The sequence below is a fragment of the Homo sapiens genome, chromosome 7 (genome assembly GCF_000001405.40).
Source record: "Homo sapiens chromosome 7, GRCh38.p14 Primary Assembly".
In the NCBI taxonomy this organism is placed as follows: Eukaryota; Metazoa; Chordata; class Mammalia; order Primates; family Hominidae; genus Homo; species Homo sapiens.
The window spans coordinates 94,302,889-94,325,767 of NC_000007.14; the positions used below are offsets into that span (position 1 = coordinate 94,302,889).

The 22,879-nt window shown below is 39.7% G+C and overlaps 2 long non-coding RNA genes across 3 annotated transcripts in view; one reads left to right on the plus strand and one right to left on the minus strand.

The window, feature by feature from the left end:
• Positions 1-22,879, minus strand: part of LOC112267858 (uncharacterized) — an 84,173-nt gene that overhangs the window by 26,362 nt on the left and 34,932 nt on the right. The window contains exon 2 of the long non-coding RNA XR_001745273.2: positions 4,671-4,761. This is a non-coding gene — a long non-coding RNA (uncharacterized LOC112267858). The remainder of the gene's footprint in view (positions 1-4,670; positions 4,762-22,879) is intronic.
• The window catches only part of LOC107986821 (uncharacterized), a 35,929-nt gene continuing 21,296 nt past the window's right edge, over positions 8,247-22,879 (plus strand). The window contains exons 1-3 of one of the 2 annotated variants that reach the window (XR_001745276.2): positions 8,273-8,360; positions 9,524-9,596; positions 10,656-10,722. This is a non-coding gene — a long non-coding RNA (uncharacterized LOC107986821). Of the gene's footprint in view, positions 8,361-9,523; positions 9,597-10,655; positions 10,723-22,879 lie in introns of those variants that run through there. The other variant, XR_001745275.2, reaches the window with a different exon arrangement.

Below are 22,879 nucleotides of genomic sequence, written 5' to 3' on the forward strand. Positions count from 1 at the left end.
CCATCTATTTACTTCCCATAACTTCTCTCATGCTATGTTCCTCTTTCTGAAATGACTCCCTACTCCCCCACCCTACTCATTCTCTAAAAGCTAGCAAATAATGACATCTGCATAAGTTCCTTCATCTGAATTTTCTTATATAGATGGCCTTGCCAATGTCTGACCTCCATTGTGACTGCTTGTATTTCTTATGTCCCTTAGTGGGGACAGTTTCCTGTCCTTTTTATTACCATATCCCCCAACTATATCTAGTATGGCCCCATGTTTTAAAATGCACCATCCCCCACCTCCAAAATAAGCAAGACGGAAAGCACCGGAGCAAACATTTTAAATGTTTATTCCCAATCATCTGCTAACATCATTTAGCAGATGAAGTTTCCCTTAGCATATACAAATATACAGTGTAAACAAAGCAAAATGTCAGGCCTGAATTACACAGAGCCGTCAAGTAAAAGGAGCAACTTGAATAATTATATCAAGCCAGATTCCCAGAAATCCTCTTCACCCTGGGTCTCTAGATCACCACCACTTGCAAGTCACCTTGCAACTCTGGTGACGTGCCTTGGAAAATTGAATTGACCAAGTATGCCCATTTGTCTGATTTGGTTTGCTTAGTCAATATAAAACAGGTTTACTACAAAGACCAAAAATGTTTCTGTCCATTCCTCTAAAAATCCTAGACCTTAATCTATTTTCATCGGATCAGCTACTGGGGATCTTTATTTTCCAGAGTCTTCCATTTGGCTTAGGAAACACTCCACTAAGTTGCCTAAAGGTGGAAATTAATTTACTCACAGGAACTGAACCGTTTTTCCCTTAATTAAACATTGCATTCTCAACTCCTTTATATGCTTTTCAGAAGAAAGAAGACAAAACAAAACAAAAACCCTGCATTTGATGAAAGGGTTGAGGACTTTTATGAAACATTTCAACTGATTTGTCAGAAAGCAATATGCAGTACAGCTGCTCTCTACCCCTGAAGCTGGCCTCTCAGATTTCTTCTAGCGTCTTTCTTCCAGCCTCTCTCCCCGCCTTTACGCATACTTTCCGTCTTGGTTATTGCTCTTTCTTGCTTCCTCTCTGCCTGCACCCTTTCCCTCCCAGCTCCTCATTCATGTGTCCAAGAGGAGGAGGCAGGCATGCAATGGGGAGCACAGTCACTCTGTCACACACGCGTATCTTTAATGGACATGGGAAGAATTCACTAATACTCAAAAGCAACCAAAGTGATAAAAGAGAGAGGGAGAAAGAGAGACAGAGAGATAAACATATTTTCCAAACAACTTAAAATGGCAATGCAAATTATCCTGCCCTTTATGAGATTAAAAAAAAAAAGTACACTGCTTGGGGAAAATAACACACTCCTCAGAAGCTCCTACCAGATATAAATCAATGTATTCGGAAGTGTAGATTTTTCTGCATAATATTCAGAATTTGGAGTTCAATGCCGCATTCCTAACCAAAACAGCCATCAAGTCCAAGAGAAATGTACTAAAAATCAGAACATTTCGTGAATTAAGAGATTCTTCCTCATCAGTATTAACATGTTTGTGTTCTTTCTCAGGAGAAAACTAAGAAAACAAAGACAATCCTCAAACTTTCAAAAGTGAAAAAATAAAATGCTTAATCTAGAAATATAAGTGAGTCCCTTTGGATCAAAGTAGAAAGGCCTGGGGTCAGAATGAAGTGATGATGGCCTCCCCTGAGAGTTTGTAGGTCTCACTAGTTCCCACAAGTATCAAGGGAATCACAGAGCTGGTATCCAAAGCCGAAGAACAGAGCCAGGAAACTAGTCTGGTGTCTTCTTCACAAAATGCAATCCATCTATTTATCCATCTATCTTCCATGCTTTTATGTACTCATTCAACTCAATATGTACCTTTTAGGCACTTTCTCAAGACATGGCAAAGAACAAAATGAAAACAAAGGCCCTGTCCTCTTCAACCTTACCTTCTAGTAGGGGAAGAAAAACAAGGGAAAAATAAACAAGTAGATAGATGGTCTGGCAGATGTTGATCAATATTAAGAGGTTGCAAGCAGTTGCTCCTCTGTGTAGATTAGTCAAAGAGACCTCTCAGAGATGACATTTGAGCAGAGACCTAAAAGGAGTAAGTGAGTCAGTCATGTGGGTAACTGGGAGGACTATCTCAGGAGAAGGAAACAGCAAGTGCAAAGGCCCTGAGGTGTGTCTAGTATGTTTCAGAAACAGCAAGGCACCAATGAGATTAGAGCAGAATGAGTGAGGGGAGGAGTAGCATAAGGTCAGAAAAGTCAAAGGGAAGACTCCACATCTTGCAGAGGCCTACGAGTGATTGAATTGACTTTGGGCTTCAATCTACGTGACATAGGAAAGTTTTGGGTGGCTTTGAGCAAAGAACTGACATGACCAAAAAACATTTTCAAAGGATCATCTGGCTGCTGCGTATAAGATAGACTAAAACAGTGGTGGCAAAAGTGGTAAGCAGGTCAGGAGCAGTGACTCACGGCTGTAATCCTAACACTCTGGGAGGCTGAGGCAGGAGGATCACTTGAGCTCAGGAGTTCAAGGCCCGCCTGGGCAACGTGGTGAAACCCTGTCTCTACAAAAAATACAAAAATTAGCTGGGCATGGTGGCACATGCCTGTAGTCCCAGCTATGGGGGAGGCTAAAGTGGGAGGATGGTTTGAGCCTGGGAGGTCAAGGCCACAGCCAGCCATGATCATGTCACTGCACTCCAGCCTGGACAACAAAGCGAGACCCTGTCTCAAAAAACAAACAAACAAACAAACAAAAAAACTGGTAAGAAGTAGTGAGATTCTCGATGATGTACCTTCAAGACAGAGCTGCCAGGATTCAATCAATAGAATGATGCAGAGAATGGAAAGGGCGGGGGCAGCAGTGAGAGAAAAAAAGAAAGAAAAATGATTCCAAAGTTTGTGGTCTGAACAACAGGAAAGATAGAGTTACTATTCGTTATCACGGAGTCAGAAGACAATACAATGGAATCAAGAAAGGGGCTTCTTTCCTTCTTTCTATCTCTTTTTTAAACGTGAAAACTAAACCATGACTGAATGCTGGTGGGAATGATACAATTGAGAAAGAAAAAATACATGATGCTAAAGAATGAGGAAACAACTGCTAGCATGATGTCCTTGAGTAGGGGAGAGGGCACAGGACTGGTCTTCCTTGACAAGCATGGTGAGCTCATCTATGGTAACAGGAGGGAAGGTAGACCTATGGATGCATTATTAGTAGAGGTGTTGGTGGTAGCTTGGGGGAATTTTCTTTCATTTCTTTATATTTTCTCAGATCTTCAACTGAGAGTTAGATAGGAGATGCTTCCCATTATTCTTCACACATTGCCCCTGGCCCAGTGAATACCTCTACATAATAGTCCAAACCCTTCCCTGTGCCCTCTGGAATAGCTTATCCATAATCAGCAAGCCCTCCCCCTGCCAGTTACTCAGCATTTTCTTTCAGCCCACACCTAGCTTTCTCCCCTTGGATCTACATTGCTGGGACTGGAAAATTGCAAACGTCTTTTCTCAGAACCCCTATCAACTGCTTCCTTCTGCCAATAGAAGACAATGGTAGGAGATCAGAAGGTGAGAGAGAGGGGACAGTTTCCTGCTTCTGGTTGTAGGCAATTGTACTGAAAGCAAGAGTCAGAATTCTGGACTCCAGCAGCCCATCCAGGGCAGCACATTGTTAGTGGTTCTAGCCCTGGCAGAGATGGGTCCAGGACTGGCTATGACAGTTTCCTCAGCAGCATAGTATAATAGCAAGGGCTGGTTTATGGTCATGAGCACCTTCCAATCACTGAGAATCCACCCTTCCCTTTATAATTCTTCAGCCGTTTCAGTTCTCACCTTTTCATCTTCCAGTCCTGCCAAAATCTTTGTAACCAATGTCTTGAATTAAATTCCCATGGTATGAAAGACTTGGAATCATTCCCGTCTTCTTGACCACCAGTCCCTGATTGATACACTCAGTACACTCAACCCCCTTTTCAAGGGTTTCCTCCTCCTTCCTGCATTAATTAAAATGTATCACCTGGTCAATGCAACACACTCCTGGGTCATTGTCTATCTCAGGTTTCAACTATTCTAGGGCCAGGAGCTAATGTTAATGCTCTCCTGTGTTTTTTGTTTTGTTTTGTTTTGTTTTGTTTTGAGACGCAGTCTTGCTCTGTCACCCAGGCTGGAGTGCAGTGGCGCGATCTCAGCTCACGGCAAGCTCTGCTTCCCGGGTTCACAACATTCTCCTGCCTCAGCCTCCCGAGTAGCTGGGACTACAGGCGCTCGCCACCACGCCCGGCTAATTTTTTGTATTTTTAGTAGAGAGGGGATTTCACCATGTTGGCCAGGATGGTCTCCATCTCTTGACCTCGTGATCCACTCGCCTCGGCCTCCCAAAGTGCTGGGATTACAGGCATGAGCCACTGCGCCCGGCCCGATACTCCCTGTTACTTCAATATTCTTCCAACCTGTCTTCTCAAATACTGCTCATCAGAACCATTCCATTTGGCTTTACTACTCTTTAACCATCCCACTTGCACCCAAGCCACCACTTTGTTATTCCCTCTCTTTAGCCAAAGGCTTTGGCATCCAGCTCCCAACTTGGTTACTACTAAAGTCCTGTCAAAAGGCTGAATGAAACCAATACCTTCACAGATAACCCTCTGACTCACCCGACATCCGGAGCCTTCAGTTTTTTTACCTCCTCCAGGTTCTTCTTCATTCCAATGTAGTCCCTCATTCATGTCATCTCCTCTATTTCACCTGTTCCCACGAACAAAATCATTAATTCTTGCATCACCTTCTTATAATATCTTCTATTTTTAGTGTAGTTGATTGGGTACCCCTTGGCCTTTATTCAACCTTATCTGCACTTCCAATGCATTGATCCCTCTATTTTCTCTTAATCAACGGTTTCTTTCTTTCCCTCATTTCCCTCCTGAGATAACCTAATTGCATGACTCATTGTTTCAGTAGCCCTCTTGTCAATTATCTTAACTCTCTTGCTATACTATCTTTAGTTACATGAGTCCAGCAAATCCCCAATCCTGGGTTATCCAGCTCTTTCTCCATGCCTGCACCTGAGTAGCTAAACATAGTTGTGTGTGGGTGGGGGCATGGAGGATCACATAAAATGGCAGTTTGGTAAATTCCTTTGTAAATTCAAAAGCCCAATATCAAGCAGGCTCTGAGCCTAACCAGTTCTTAATACTTATCTCTGGTCTATACTTTCTCACTTTCTCCAATAACTTTTTCAGAAAAAAAAAAAAAAATTAAAATTGTCCTTAAATCTTTAACTCATCCTGCAGCCCCTTTTCTCTCAGCATATGGTGATCTCACACATTAATTCACAGAGAAAATACATGCTATAATATGGGTTCTCCTCAACTTCTCAATAGCAAATGCACAAACTCATCTATATCTGCCCATCTTTCTTTTTTCCTTCCTTCCTGTTACAATAAAGGAGCTATCCCACACTTATTTTAGGCAAATCTCTCCACTTTTACTTTAATTCTATTTCTTCAGAAGTTATCAGAAACTTGTCACTTTTTATTAACACTGCTCTCTGCTTTTCACCCAGAATCTTCCCAGCAGCTTTTTTTTAATGTCATAAAATTTATAGAAAATAAATTTAACCAGTTTGAAATGTATAATTCAGTGGCATTTATTACATTTATGATGCTGGGCAACCATCACCTCCACCTAGTTCCATGAAAAACATTTTTATCACCCAAAAGGAAACCCCAGATTCATTAAGCAATCATTCCCCTCTAACTTCCCCACAGCTTCTAGCAGCCACTAATCTGCTTTCTGTCCCCGTGAATTTACCTATTCTGGATATGTCATATAACTGGAATCCTGCAATATGTGACCTTTTATGTCTGGCTTCTTTCACTTAGCATATTCTCAAGGTCCACTCATGTTGTAGCATGTATCGATACTTCACTCTTTTTTTTTTTTTTTTTGAGACAGAGTCTCACTCTGTTGCCCAGGCTGGAGTGCAGTGGTGCGATCTCAGCTCACTACAACCTCCGCCTCCCGGGTTCAAGTGATTCTCCTGCCTCAGCCTCCTGAGTAGCTGGGACTACAGGCACACACCACCACGCCTGGCTAATTTTTGTGTTTTTAGTAGAGACAGGGTTTCACCATGTTGGCCAGGCTGGTCTCAAACTCCTGACCTCAGACGATCCATCCACCTTGTCCTCCCAAAGAGCTGGGATTACAGGCATGAGCCACTGCACCCAGCCCACTTCATTCATTTTTTATGACTGAATACTATTCATTGTATGGATATACCACATTTTATTTGCTCATCAGCTAAAGGACATTTGGGTTGTTTCTGTCTTTTGGCTACTGTGAACAGTGCTACTTTTGTTCGAATCCTTATTTTCAATTCTTTTGGGTGGATACCTAGAAGTAAAATTCCTGGGTCTTCTGGTAATTTATGTTTAATTTTTTGAGGAACCACCAAACTATTTTCCATAGCAGCTGGCTGTCAACTTTTAAACATGTTCATGCCTCTCCAATAAAAAAATTAAAAACCTGAACCCATGCCCTCCTCCAGCTACTGATCTTTTTCTCATCTCCTTCTCAGGGCTGCTTCTTGGAAAACGTTAGCAGGCTCGTTCTTCTTTCCCCAGCCATTAAATGCAGGCACTCCTCCAGGTCCAGTCCCCTGCCTTTTTTCTTTTCTTTTCTCTATATTCTTTCCCCCGTTGATTCCGGCACTCCTCCAACTTGTTTTCCAAATTGCAACCATTATGACCTTTTCAAAATGTAAATCTGATCATACCACCCTTGTTTCAAACATGCAAAGGATTTCCATTGCTTTATAAGTAAGGGGATCTTTAACCTCCCTGAACCTGTCCAGTCTCGCCCACCTTCCTCTCTGGCCATCCCTCTCACCAGGTGCTCTGTCACTCTAGGAACCCTGTCACATGCCCCCCTGTCCACCATGTGCCTTTGTTCTCACCACTTTCTCCTCCTGAACTCTACCTTACTCTACCCCATGTCTTAATTTTTCATTTCTATGCTTCACATCTGTGTTTATTCAACACTTCTGTGAAGCAATCCTTGACCTCTACAGTTTGGTAAAATTCTACAAGTTCCTATAGCGCTATTACAAGCTGAATTGCATCCCTCCAAATTCATACACTGAGGTCCTAATCCTCAGTACCACAGAATGTGATTGTATTTGGAGACAGGACCTTTAAAGAGGTAAGTAAGGTTAAATGAGATCGTATGGGTGGGCTCTAATCCAATATGACTGGTGTCCTTAAAAGAATAGAAAATGAAGACACAGACAATGCACTGACTGAGAGGTGGTCTGTGAAGACACAGCGAGAAGGTGGCCATCTACAAGCCAAAGACAGAGGCCTCAGAAGAAACAAATCCTGCCAGCACCTTAATCTTGGAGTTCGACCTTCCAGAATTGTAAGAAAATAAAGTCCTGCTGTTTAATTTACCCAGTCTGCAGCACTTCGTTGTGGCAGCGCTAGATGACTACTACAATTAATTACTCTGTATCTGTCTCCCTCCAATTCACTTGCCAGAGAGTTCATTTTATCTTTTATTTGCTTTATTTTTAAAAAATTAATGCCCCTCTCTCTCTCTGTTTCTCTATCTTCCCCCCCGCCACCCCCCGACCCCCTGCACCTCTTGTATAAGTTCCATGAAGGCAAGGATTATTCCTCTTCTTATTCACCATTTTATTCCAGGTACACAATAGAGTGATTGGCATAAAGCAGGAATTCAATGTACAGGTATATTTCTTGGGAAAAAAATGGGTGAAGAAATGACTGAAAAAATAAATGAATACAGATTTATTTAATTGAACTAAATTTCTCTTTCATTTATTAAACTTTTATTTTAATTCAGTACCCCATGAAATACCAAGCCCTGTGGTGGATGGTCCTTGTCTTCAAAGAGTTCCCAATCAAGTTGAGAAGTCAAAGAGCAAACAAAAAAACTAAAGCAGAAAGGGCTAGTTCCCCAGGTAGTGACACATGCATACTTAATCTGGAGCCCAAATTCAGGAACAAACAACACTGAAGAGTCAGAGGTTTCATTTGAGCAGATGAGCCAGGGTCTAGGTCTTGAAAGAAGAGTGAGAAGAAAGAACCAAGAAGAGTAAAAGGAAATTCAGGCAGTAGGGAATGGAGAAGCAAAGCTTTGATGTTTGGAAACTAACAAGGAGTTTTTTAATCACTAGAATTGCACTTGTCATTAAATTCTGCAGATTATGATGTAAGAGTTCTTGAAGCTAAAGGGGGTTAAGCTCAAATGTAGTTAATGACAGAGTAAAATTAAATAGGTATCTTTACTACAGGACTTTTCTGAGCATTTAATATGCTAATGTGCATGTGAGTTTTCAAAAGAAGAATGAGATATTTCTTTAATGCCCTTTTTCTTTCCATAGTGTACCTTTATAAGACTACTGGTCTGTTTTATACTCTTCGGGAAACACGAGGTCAAAGCACAGTGTATTAGAAGGAGGGTGGTAAGAGATCATCCAGAAAAATAGGTTGCTATTTGATAATAGGTCCAAGAATCCATAAGAAATAGTCAGACCATGATAACATATCATTTAAATATTTTAAAGAAATATGATCCCACTAGACAGGAAGAACTGTTAATGGAATCTGTCAGTAAATATATTATTCGAATCATATCAGGCAGTGAAGCAACTTGGACAGGACACTGAAGATTTAAAGCACATTTCAGAATTAAGTAACCTGGTAACTTATATGGTTTGGCTGTGTCCACACCCAAATCTCATCTTGAACTTTAGTGCTCATAATCCCCATGTGTCATGGGAGGGACCCAATAGCCGGTAATTGAATCACGCGGACAGTTTCCTCATGCTGTTCTCATGATAGTGAGTGAGTTCTCACGAGATCTGATGCTATTATAAGGGGCTTTCCCCATTCATTCTGCACTTCTCCTTGCTGTCATCATCTGAAGAAGGAATTATTTGCTTCCCCTTCTGCCATGATTATAAGTTTCCCGAGGCCTCCCCAACCATGCTGAACTGTGAGTCAATTAAACCTCTTATCTTTATAAATTACCCAGTCTTGGGTATGTCTTTACAGCAGCATGAAAACGGACTAATACGGTACATTTAATTTGGGGTTTCTTTGTAGATTAGAGAGCCCATGTTAAAATGCGTGTAAATAGGATTCAGTGTGCCCCCTCAGTGTCAGGAGCAAGAGTCAAGTCAAACATTCAAGATCAAGCATTTAGTAGAAATTCCATATAAAATTTATCAACAGTATAAGTAATTAATATAGTTGATGTATAAGTAACATCAGTGTACTGAAATAGAAAAGGCACATTGCTTGGAATGATAGAACTATCCCCTTGGTAGATCGACCAGGCTCAGATTGGATTCGATTATATGTAACAAATAAACAGAAATAACCCTTTTTTTTTCTTGAAAGAAAACTCCAAATAGTTTAGAGATATCATAGAAGGTCTATGTTTATCAAGAACTCAAATTCCTTCTATTTTCTACTTCACCATCCAGGATTATGGCTTGGAGCCTCAAATCACTTTGTGATTCAAGATGGCAACTGGAAGAAAGAGGAGATAACAAAAAGGTAAGGGGAAAAAAAAAAAGCCTGATAACCAATAAGTCATTGCTCTTTAAACAGCTCTCCTAGAAATCACACACAACACTTCCACTTCACTGGCCAGATGTTGGTCTCATATGCACCCCAAAATGCAAAACAATTTGGGAAATGTAATTTATCTGGCCTACTGTTACTCTAAACAAAACCAAGATCTTGTTACTAAGAAAGAATAAGAGATTAGAAACTACATGGCAGCCAGCAGTCTCTGCTACAATGGATGTCATATAAACCTGGGGAATTTAGAAATAAATACATAGATAATAAAGTAAACTAAAACCACATTATTAACTTGGGAGTTATAAATAGGAGCATATGTATATATTTGGTATTTTAATATTTTTAATGCATAAGAGAATTTGGCATATTGGAGCATCAAATAAATTAGTTCTGCAATTCCCATTTAAATTATATAATTAGATAATTTGTCAAACTTTGCACTTTAATTTCAAAGACATAAGAGAATTTTCCTAAGTTTAGAAGTAGTATCAAGGCATTTAAAAAAAAAACAACTGTCATCATACTCGAAAATTTAATTTATTGTGTTTCTTAAAATTCACTTAAGTAATTAAAAGATTTTATTTGTTATTTAGTTTACGGTCTTAAAAAATCAAGTATTTTAAATTTAAAAATTCAGTTAGAAATATTTAAGCAATTTTAATTAATTAGGTTTTGAAGATCTGCTTGAAAGTGATTGCTGAGATATGCTTTTCTAAGTTGAATGTAAACGACAGAGGAAAAAATATATCTGTAATAAGTCAAATATTAATTTGAAAATCCAAAAGAATCACAAGTAGTCTTTTCTGCACATTAAGCCTGCCCTCAAAGACACCAGAAAAACATTATGTTGTTAAGCATGCATTTATGAAAGAGTGTTAAAATAATGAGTTCTAAGTATTTGGGGCTTTTTTTGTGTAAGTAAAGTGAGTTTATTGGAAGCTTTGGAGCAATAGAATGTCATTATCACATTTTTATCTCACAAGATAATTCTGATGGCAGTGAAATGCCCTTTCCCCACTTTTCTGCCAGGTGACACCCTACTCAATTCCTCAAGCACTAACTTCAACCACACCTCCTCCAAGAAATCCAAACCCACACGAAATCAATCCCAGGCAGAATTAAGAGCTTCTTCTCTGTACACTGTTGCACTTTAACACATCCTGTATAATGATCATTTCATTTCAACGAGGTCTTTTGGGTTCTGTCTCCCAGTAAGCCATGAAGCTAGACCATCATACTCATTTTTAGATTTTTTTGTTTGTGTTTAACATGGAACCATATTTCAAGTGGATGGAATCTAATTGAAATTCAAAGCCTAGGACTGTATTCTGAATTCAGTACAATTCCACTGAAGTGCAGATATCATATGACACCCTACCTAAGAAAGGGCAATCTCCTTTTTCCTCTTGAATTTTGATTGCAATTATAAGTAAATAGCAAGTCATAATTATTAATTCTTTTTATCCAAGATACATTTGGCACCACAGAAAAAGAACTGGCTCTTCTAGCATTTCCTATCAACAGGTTTTCAGCTGTGTACTCACTTGCAAATGATTACACATTCACAGGAAAGAAATGTATTTAGGTTGGAAAAAGTCCCAGAAGGCCCATAGGGTGGGCATTTGATTCCTTGATAAAAAGCCAAGCCCCACTGTCTGGAAAGGAGGAAATTAGAAAAGGGGGAAAGAACCATTTGCTTCAGGGCCTAAAATAACACCAATTGCAGCACGAACTATGAGAAGCAAGATAGCAGAATTAAACAGTAGAGAAAAATTGCCGCCTAAGACTTCTTCAGCTACAAAATAACTTAGAAAATAATTTCAAAATAATTTCCCAATACACAACAATATTTTCAGCAAGAATATATCGAAAGGCAATTTGGCAAGATGTTTTGGAGGACTTCAACACAAGAAAAGATGAATTTTTACATTAAGAAGAGATGAATAAATATTAATGTACCAACAAAAACTATTGATGTACCTTTCAATTCTAAAATTGTATTTCTGTATGTGAGTTATTTCCTTTTGTGCATGTGTATGTGTCTCTTCTCACCCGACCTCTCTCACTCTCTTAATTATACTGTAAAAATGAAGCCAGCAGGAACTGCTTCTTAACCGTTAATCATTATCCGCCCTGGCTGTTGTAATTTTTTTTTCTTTTCTTATGGAGAAATTTTTCTTTCCATTGCCTATACTTCTCTCCAGCACATTAATTATCTTTCCTGTGACAAGCCCCTAATCCATTTTTGTTCTGTGAAATCTGTAGCACTTAATGAAGATTATTCTCACTTTGTAAAGGCTTTAGAAGGGACTTTTCAGATCCTGTCTAAATGAGGGCCTCTTAAGTCATATGATGAGCTTAGATTGGAGCCCTGGTCTCTCAGATTTGATTAGCAGGTCCCGATGGCTTGCTACTACTTTGCTCAGCTCTGTGATTTTAGCAAGAAAAAAAGCAAAAATGAAAAACAAGAGTAGCTATCTGGATAATAGCAGGAACAAGTTGGAGAGGAGAACATTCACCTGCCATATGCACTATAACTGAATATAGTCATTAGCTACAGATGCCTGGTAATTTGAAATGGGGACCTTTATGCCTCTTATCTTGGGTAGTCTCAGACTTGAGACCAGTATGTGTAAATAAGAGCCTCTTCATCTTCCACTGGGGCTTAGAATTAGTAATTCTAGCTTGTGGTTCTCCCTTCCTGTATCTTCGTGACCTTTCTGCCTTTTAAACAATCAGCCCTTCATGATTATGCTTATTTTTAGGTCTGCTTTCACTATTCTCCCCCAGGAAGAGAAAAATATATAATGCATTAAATCCCAGTTCCAGGAAAACAGCATCCAGGTCTAAAAAGCAGATGTCATTGTGACTATCACTAACAGAACTTCAATGACATGCTTTCCATCTTCTCTCACATTTGAGGGGTATGCCATTACCAGCCTTATGCTGTTGGAAACGTACACACCTTACCAGATGTTAATTAGATTTGGGCTTCCAATATTCCAATATTCCCCAAAATTAGTGATAAACACACACTCAGGGATTTTAACTCAGAACTACACATCGGGCAACTTATGGACCACCTGTGGCTGAAATAGTGAAGTTAATGGCTGGGAAAAAGATGTCATGATTTTGAAATAAATCTAAAGAATAGAAAGTAAGAAATGATAGTTTTCTTCAGTAACTGTGATTAAACTCACTTCTGCTTCTTCAGATCAGATGAGAAAGAAATTATAACAACAAGAATAACAATAACAATACCTATTGAGAATGTACCAAGGGATTTCTTTAATTGTACCAAGGGATCTCTTTCATTAATTTGTTATAACAAATCTATAGGAAAAATTTTTTTTGTTAATGTTTCCATGTTACATTTATATAAATTTAGGAAATAGAAGAATTGAGACTCCAAGCCGAGATTTTGTTAAGTCAGAGCCTGCGCTCTTAATCACTAACTTTTTCACCGCAGGGCCACCAGACCCCAGGTAGAACTCTGCTCACATTCCTCCTTCCAAGCTACACCTAAGCCTAGGCCTAGGCCTCTGATGGAGTTTCACCAAGCAACGAGCATGGAAAGGAGTGCAACTAGTTTGCAAACCTTTATGATGTGGATGAGGCATGATTCGGACAACAAACACAGGAAGACAACCTCTCATGGGAAAGGCCATCCTTAGCCTGATGTCCAAGACAATAGAGATTCTGGAACATTGCCTGAAACTTTTATCTTCTGGCCTTCACACATGCGGTTCCTCTCCCTAGAATATTGTCTTTTTTCCCCCTTTCCTTGCCCCACCCAAACCCTGACTTCACTTGAAAACTCTTATTTTTCTTTCAGACTCAACTTGAAACTCACTTCCTCCATCAAGCCTTCCCCAATCCCCTAGACCAAGTGAGAGAAGCCCCCATTATGGGCCCCTGTGGCCCCCTATACTTAGCTTAGTATAACATATGTCATCATTTATCAAACTTTCTTGTTTTATTGCCCTTCTTCCTTACTGGATTATGAATTCCATGAAAGCTGAAAAATTATGTCTGCCTTATTGCCCAATTCATTTCCATTCCCTGTACAGGTAATTGCTGAATAATAGAGTAAGTGAATGAATGAAGAATCAACACATCTCCTACCAGTACAGAGTACTGAATTCTGAATTCCTTTTTCTGAAAATCCTAAAAAGCAGGGTCAATGGTTATATATCTAAGATGAACTAACTGTCTTTTCCAGGTCCCTTCTAGTCCCACAATTCCTTTATTTTTTAATCAAAACTGCCAACACAAGTTTTAAATTAATAATAGCATTGTCGTCATTATTTCACCACTTCAGTAGATGAGTGCCTGAGATGCAGGTGACTAGAAGGACTGGCCTCATCTAATCAAGCCCTGAACAGCACTTGTCTCGAGGTGTGAGGGCAACCATTCCACTCTCCACATTAATGCCATTAGGTAAAAGAGACAATAAGGAGATTTTTGTGTAGTAGAATTCTCTAGCATATACAGTTTTACCCTTGCCACCGATTAATTTACCAACCTCACAATCTTTACTCCAGGGTAAACAGATTTAAAACAAAAAAGTTGAAGTCTCATGGTAGCCAGGTGAATTTCTGTGCAAATATTTTACTATGTTCATCTGACAAAAATAATTCAGGACATGCCATTCTTAACAATCACCTCTGTCAATACTACTGATTAATCTGCAATTTCTTTCACAGTCGGAATAACGGCATTGATCAATTCAGTGGACACCTTTGAGCATAACATAAAGGATTTGATATACCCTTCAAGATGAACTAGGGGCCTTTGTCTTTGGCACTTTCTATTACTTTCCTGTATGGCCAAACTATGAGACTTGACAGCTTACTCTTGAGTTTGTAAACTGGAATATTCAACAAAAACTAAAATTGCAGAAAAGCGTCAGTCATTCATATAAAGTACTGCTTCTTAATTTCCATATTCCCTGAAGGAGCCACCTCTACCCATTTTAACCTATGTTAGATGAGAAAACTGAGGCACTGAGGAGTCAAAGTCATAATATATTTGAGTAATCTGACAATCATTTTCATTTTTCCTCTTGACTCTCTTGATGAAGTAATGTTCATTTGGAAGAGAAAATATGAAGGACCTAAGAAAATAAACTGAATTATTACAAATTTTAAATACTTAAATCCAAGAAAAGTCATTGGACTATAATCTTCATAGACAAACTATTGTCTTCTGTCTTGAATTTCTGGCCTAATGTCTGGAGTATAGCTAGTGCTTAATATAAAGCAAATAAGTGATATACCCATAACATTCTTAACCATTTTAGGAGGCCTCACAGGATCTGCCCTTTTATTACCTCTCTAGAGCCATCTCTCAATATTCCTCCCTTGCTGACTACCCCCAGAGATAATCAGGACTTCTTCCATTTTCTCAAACTTGTTTTGCATTCTTTTGCCTTGGAAATTTCAAGCATTTTGTTCCCTCTACCTGCAGCACTCCCCTCACTCTTCACCCACCCCCCTGGAGATGCTTCGGTCTTACCTCAAATGACACTTCCAGTGAGAAGTCTTCCCTCACATGGTCAGCTTCTCTTCCTATGCATTCCTACCACCTGCCTTTATCTGTCCCGGATCTTACCCCACCTCCTTGGCATTGCCTACCTAACTCTGGGACTTCCCAGTAGATTATCTGTCCCTTGAGGACAAAAATTGTGTCTGTTTAATATTAACAAGGTCTCCATTTGTTGCAAGTGACAGAAAGCCTACTGAAATTCACGTATGATAAAAAGTGGATATATTGCCTATATATTCAGGCATTCCAGATACTTATTTGAAATTGTCAGTCTTCTCTTTCTCTTTGTCCATCTCCATCTCTTACCTGCGCTTCTCTCTCTATGCTCCTTTTCTTCTATTTCTAGCTCCCTTCATCATCCATGGTCTCTATATCTCTATCTTCTCTTCATCTCTAGCTCACCAACTTTCACCTGTACTTCTCTTGATATGTTAGTGATCTTCTTTCTCACTATCGATAACTTCCTGCAAATGTTAGGAGAGAACCTAGGATGGGGGCTGGTTTGGCTATAAACAGCTTTAGATTACATCATCACAATTCAATAATCAAAACAAAAAAATCCTCTGTCTCCTAGCATCCAAGTACAAAATCTGAGCTGGGTTTAGACTAATGCTCTGAGATTGGTCCAGTGCTAGGACCAATAGCTATAGCCAGAGGTAGGAACCACTGTGGCTAATCAGTCATGTAGCATACTCCCAGCCATCTGGCCTGGACCAGTGGGGCCATGTGATAGGCAGCCCTACCAGAATTGGAATTGAGGAGGGAGGTTTTCCTCAAGTGAAAAGGGTACTGTCACTAGAAGAGAGGGGAAGTAATGCTGTGTGAACAAACAATAAAATCCACCCACACCAGATTAACATTTTATTCTCAGACCCTACCATTAAATCTGTCATGTGATTATTGGTCAATAAATGCTTAGTGAATGAATGAACTTAGGAAATGCATTTTGAGGCCAATATATTCCCTGTATTAATATTTGGGGTATTGGAACTCATGAGTGAGGATGAAAAGAAACATAGCTATTTCTTATAGCAAGTAAAAGAGAACAACGTGTTTTCATGGCCAAAAAGCTAATCCTATGCTTAATAAAGATTGCAAATGCAATATACTTAAAATTGTGTCACAGAATGTCCACTGAAAGATCAATATATTTGATTGAAGATTGTGTAATGATTAATTATATAATTGATGATTATATAATGTCCTGCCTGGCTCCCTATTCCTAGTCTCAAATAAGCCTGACTAACAGATATGCCTGTTCTGTCAAACTCTCATCTTAGAGCTTAGGTCTATCTTTTAACTGAGGCCAATCCATATTCTAAGCAGGGGCCACTTATACATTTCATTGTATGGGTCCCTGTATTAGTTCATTTTCACACTGCTGATAAAGACATACCCATGTCTGGGGAGAAAAAGAGGTTTAATTGGACTTACAGTTCCACATGGCTGGGGAGGACTCAGAATCACGGCAGGAGGCAAAAGGCACTTCTTACATGGTGTCAGCAAGAGAAAATGAGAAAGAAGCAAATGTGGAAACCCGTGATAAACCCATCAGATCTCGTGAGACTTATTCACTATCACAAGAATAAGATGGGAAACACTTGTCCCCATGATTCAATTACTTCCCCCTATGTCCCTCCCACAACATGTGGGAATGCTGGGAGCTACAATTCAAGTTGAGATTTGGGTGGGGGCACAGCTAAACTGTATCATTCTGCCCCTGACCTCTCCAAATCTCATGTCCTTACATTTCAAAACCAATCGTGCCTTCCCAACAGTCCCCCAAAGTCTTAACTCATTTCAGCATTAAGCCAAAAGTCCACAGTCCAAAGTCTCATCTGAGACAAGGCAAGTGCCTTCTGACCATGAGCCTGTAAAATCAAAAGCAAGCTAGTTACTCCCGAGTTACAATGTGGTTATAAGCATTGGGTAAATACAGCCATTCCAAATGGGAGAAACTGGCCAAGGGAATACAGGGCCAATGGAAGTCCAGAATCCAGCTGGACAGTCAAATTTTAAAGCTCCAAAATGATCTCCTTTGACTCCAGGTCTCATATCCAGGTCACACTAATACAAGAGGTGGGTACCTATGGTCTTGGGTAGCTCCACCCCTGAGACTTTGCAAGGTACAGCCTCCCTCCTGGCTGCTTTTACAGGCTGGCACTGAGTGTCTGCAGCTTTTCCAGGCACAGAGTGTAAGCTGTCAGTAAGCATCTACTATTCCAGGGTCTGGAGGACAGTGGCCCTCTTCTCAAAGCTTCACTAGGCAGTGCCCCAGTAGGAGCTCTGTGTGGGGGCTCTGACCCCATATTTCCCTTCTGCACTGCCCTAGCAGAGATTCTCCATGAGGGCCCCAACCCTGCAGCAAACTTTTGCCTGGGCATCCAGGTGTTTCCATACATCTTCTGAAATCTAGGTGGAGGTTCCCAAACCTTAATTCTTGACTTCTGCGCATTCAAAGGCTCAACACTACATGGAAGCTGCCAGGGCTTGGAGCTTCCACCCTCTGAAGCCACAGCCCAAGCTCTATGTTGGCCCCTTTCAGCCATGGCTGCAGCAGCTGAGACACAGGGCACCAAGTCCTGGGCTGCACACAGCATGGGGACCCTGGACCTGGCCCATGAAACCACTTTTTGCCCCTGGGAACCCAGGCCTATGATGGGAGGTGCTGCCTTGAAGGTCTCTTACATGGCCTGGAGACATTTTCCCCATGGTCTTGGGGGTTAACATTAGGCTCCTTGCTACTTATGCAATCTTCTGCAGCTGGCTTGAATTTCTCCTCAAAAAACAGGATTTTCTTTTCTACTGCATCGTCAGGGTGCAAATTTTCTGAACTTTTATGCTTTGTTTCCCTTTTAAAATGGAATGCTTTTAACAGCACCCAAGTCACCTTTTGAATGCTTTGCTGCTTAGAAATTTCTTCTGCCAGATACCCTAAATCATCTCTCTCAAGTTCAAAGTTCCACAAATCCCCAGGGGAGGGGCAAAATGCTGCCAGTCTCTGTGCTAAAACATAGCAAGAGTCACCTTTGCTCCAGTTCCCAACAAGTTCCTTATGTCTATCTGAGACCACCTCAGCCTGGATTTTATTGTCCATATTGCTAGCAGTATTTTGGGCAAAGCCACTCAAAAAATTTTTAGGAATTTTCAAAATTTCCCACATTTTCCTGTCTTCTTCTGATCCCTTCAAACTGTTCCAATCTCTACCTGTTACCTACTTCCAAAGTTGCTTCCACATTTTCAGGTATCTTTTCAGCAACACCCCACTCCTGGTACCAATTTAATGTATTAGTTCATTTTTATGCTGCTGATAAAGACATACCTAAGACTGGGAAGAAAAAGAGATTTAATTGGACTTACAGTTCCACATGGCTTGGGAGGCCTCAGAATCGTGGTGGGAGGTGAAAGGCACTTCTTTTTTTTCTTTTTTCTTTTTTTTTTTTTTTTTTTGAGATGGAGTGTTGCTCTTGTTGCCCAGGCTGGAGTGCAATGGCACAATCTCGGCTCACCACAACCTCCACCTCCCAGGTTCAAGTGATTCTCCTGCCACAGCCTCCCGCATAGCTGGGATTACAGGCAAGCACCACCACACCCGGCTAATTTTATATTTTTAGTAGGGATGGGGTTTCTCCATGTTGGTCAGGCTGGTCTCGAACCCCTGACCTCAGGTGATCCTCCTGCCTTGGCTTCCCAAAGTGCTGGGATTACAGGTGTAAACCACCGCACTGGCCTGAAATGCACTTCTTACATGGCAGCAGCAAGCAAAAATGAGAAAGAAGCCAAAGTGGAAACCCCTGATAAACCCATCAGATCTGGTGAGACTTATTCACAATCAAGAGAATAACACAGAAAAGACCATCCCCCATGATTCAATTACCTCCCCCTGGGTCCCTCCCACAACATGTGGGAATTCTGGGAGCTACAATTCAAGTTGAGATTTGGGTGGGGGCACAGCCAAACCATACCATTCCCTATCTCAGAATTGAGGTATTGAGGTATTCTTGTGACCTGTCTTTTGTCTCATCTGAGCCCCTGTACACCTGCACTCTGACCCCAGTTGCTCTAGCTCTGGCTATGTTTTCTTTCATATTTGGATCTAAGTGGTAGCATCACTTTTTAGCTTCCTACAAATTCCTTTGATCATTGGACTTTAGATAGGTTCATGTTTGTTGGACTTCCCTTCATTGTCTGTTCCATTCCTAGCTGGATCAAAATGGAAGATTCAGAAACCTGGACCAACTCACTTCACTGTACCCAGTTCAGTTGGATCCTTTCCCCTGAAGTGATTTTTTTTCAATGTTCACTGCTCACAGCTGAGTAACTCCTGGACACAAACCTTGTTTCAACGGATAGGTCTGTCTGGTCCTTTCCATCGTGGTCTATTTTTCTGTGTACTCACTCCAATTAGGATAAATGATAATTTTCCAGAAAATTTGTCAGGTACATTAATGCCTTCCGTTATGTAATCTAGCACTAGAAATTCACCACATAGAAAGAATAAAATATTCAGCGCCATTTCATCATGCCTATTGGTTTCCCCATAGTGCCATTTTATCCTAAAGCACCCTTATAAAAACTTATGGTCATGTGAAACACTTCCTTGTCCCAGCAAAGAAAAAGCCTAAATGACTTACTGTATAGTGTTTTATCAAGCTAATTTCTTTAGTCTCCTGAAGATACAGCACTAGCTTTAAATTATAGCCTTAATATAATTCCCACAATATGCTCATTAAATGTCTGGCTTATTGTTTGTGGTTATACCATTAAACATAGCATCCCTAGTTGTATCTTCCTAAAATCAAAGAAGCTAAATAGTTCCAAAACGTGAATGTTGACCAAGTCCTCTATTCTCTGGGCATACACATGTGTCAGAGAAAGCAAAAAGTAGCCACTAAACTAATCACTGGGCATAGAAGACTGCTTATCCCTTATGTGTTAAAATAACAATCATTTCAGTTACATATCAATTTGAATTTCCAAGACAAGTAATAAGACACCTCACTTTTCTTATTGTTTTCCAAGACAAACATCTGAGAACTAGCAGGAAAACTGTGTCTCATACATTCATTTGATTTTATATTTTCTATCATGCCAATCGGCATTCATCCATGAAGCAAACACCAGATGCCTAATACATATAAGGACAATGCTAAACACCAGTTTTCATATTCAAATAGCAGATCTTGAACCCTAAAACCCAATATTCTATTTCACCAGTAAAAAAGAAATGCCAAGAGAAATTTTCTTACCTCAGAGTTTGGTGATAGAGCTACGCTTACCTTTCCTATAGCTATTCTGAGGAACGTAACACACATCAGTGTCATCGTGACTCAGATTCACACAGTAAATCTCACACATGAAAATTCTAAGACATACAAATTCAAATAATCCATCAAAAATTAAGCACGAGGGAGCCAAATAAAGGTTCAGATCAATTTGTCTGCATTCTCATTTGTTATTCCTAATTCCTTAATAAGGCATTTTTTATTTGATTATGGAAACCTTAATTAATTGTATAGAAAATGCTCAGAGATGATTGAGGAATAAATATAATAGAGGAATAAACTTCATTTTGCCTCCTTGGAACTATTAAAATAAAAAGCAGCCATTTAGGATATTATCCTCTGATACAGCCAAGAAGAGGTCCCCAAGAGGTAGGTTTAGGGCATTCTCAGGGATTTCTTTCTGTGATTTACTGGGCGGGGGTGGGTATCACACAGGACCTGACTTCTTTGGTTTTCTCTCTTTGGTCTAATTGCTATACATCTGTTAAATTTGGGGTTTTGTTCAGGCAAAAGTTTTAGCAGGGAAAGGCTGAAGGAAAGGACTAAAATAAGGATTGAGATGACGAATGTAAGTTTTTCTTTTGCAATGACCACAAATAATAAAGAGGATATTTTAAAGGTTAATAATTAAAGGCAACTCCACCCCCTTCCCCTTTGGCAGATGAGGAAAATAGGCAGTGAGATGGTGTAGCCTGCAATACTGTGGTTCTGAAGGAATGAGTGCTAACGTGGCCTCCTCCCTCTTGGAACCAAACCTATATCATTTGGAAAACCTTTATTCATTATGCAGAAGCTAAGAGACACACAATATTCCAGCTGGTTTCAGAAACTAATGTTAACAGCCACGTCACCTTTTCTCGCTCCCTTCCTCTTTCTCTTTTTCTCTTTATTTTTCTCTTTCTTCTCTTGCTTATTCCTTTCTTTCCCCTTCCTTCCTTCCAAGTAAGTGAATTTCCAGTTTCCTCTGTTATTCTTAGTTCCCATAGCTTGTTCTTGGAGATATCTTTTTTTTTTTTTTTTTTTTTTTTTTAATGAGAGCAACCAAACCTTATTGAAGACATTCAAGAATTGGGCTTTTTCCTCCCAATCAACTTGCTTTGGTGCAGTTAAGATGAAAGTAAATAAATCCTCTTAGTTGGGCTGTTGCTACTATTCTAGAAAGTCTGCCCTTTGCAGTAATAACCAGGAGACATGGGGTGGAGAGGCAGCATCCAGCTCCTGGGAAACATGAACTGCCAAGAACAAGACAGCTTTCTATAGCCAACTGAGATCAAATTCCTCAAGCTTCTGGATGGAACCCCATCCTGGATTGGAGGAAGAGGTCAAGAATATGGCCTGGAATGATTGGCCAGAAATAAGAAGGAACTCTATCATTTCAAGATTATGTGTTTGTGTGTATTGAAGAGAAATAACTTTTATAAGGGTAAAGAAATTTAAAGAGAAATAAAGTTAAATTCTAGCTAAAGGAAAAAGCATACAAAATCCCAGGATTTATAACTGAAAGTGTTTATCAGACTCTACAACTACTCATGAGCTTTTAGTCTTCTTAAAAACCTCCCTAGTAATAAAGAGAAAAACATTTATGAGTGTCGAGTTTCTCTAGCACAGCTGATGCTGGTCTGCCTGTCTGGAAACACCAAGAGTGGTGACATATGATTTCAATTAGTTTCACAGTTCCACAAAAATACGCTCTCTACAAAATGGAAAAAGAACTAGAATAAGTACCAATGTCATTAAAGATCCTTTGGTTTATCCTTGGGCATTTTAGTGCATTGTTCCTGATAGACTCCCTGTAACAAGATAATCACATCCCCAAAGTCTCTACAAGGCCTAACTTGGAACAATACTGACTGACGAACGAATGAATGAATGAACGAATGAATAACATTAGTCACATGACCCAATAGGAAATCAGATGTTGAATGGTTGTATTCTGGAGAATCTGTGCTTTCATTTTCTAGGTTCCCAGGCTTTGCCCTGTGGAGACTGGTCATCTCAATCTTATTTGCTTTGTATTCTCAAAGGAATTTGGTGTAAATTTGTCAGATAACACCTCAAAAACATTTGAAAACAACAGAAACATACATTTCAAAGCACCATGACTCCAAATAACAAAATTAAATCAGAAGTTACTTTTATGCCTTTCGGCTGCCACTTCCATGAAGAATAAAACCAGAAAATGTCTTTTTTATACAATCTTTCTGGTTAATTATATAATCACACCCTAGAATCCATAAGTAGTTATATACCTAGAAGTTACTGCTTACAAAATATTATTTGCTTCAATTCTATATAGAAATAGTCTTTAAGTGCTGATTTAAAATTATAGTTTAATAATTATGTTTAAGTAGAGTTCATAAAGAAAAAATGATTTGTTAACTTGATAATTTAAGTTGGCTGTTATTCACCAGTATTCTTTGT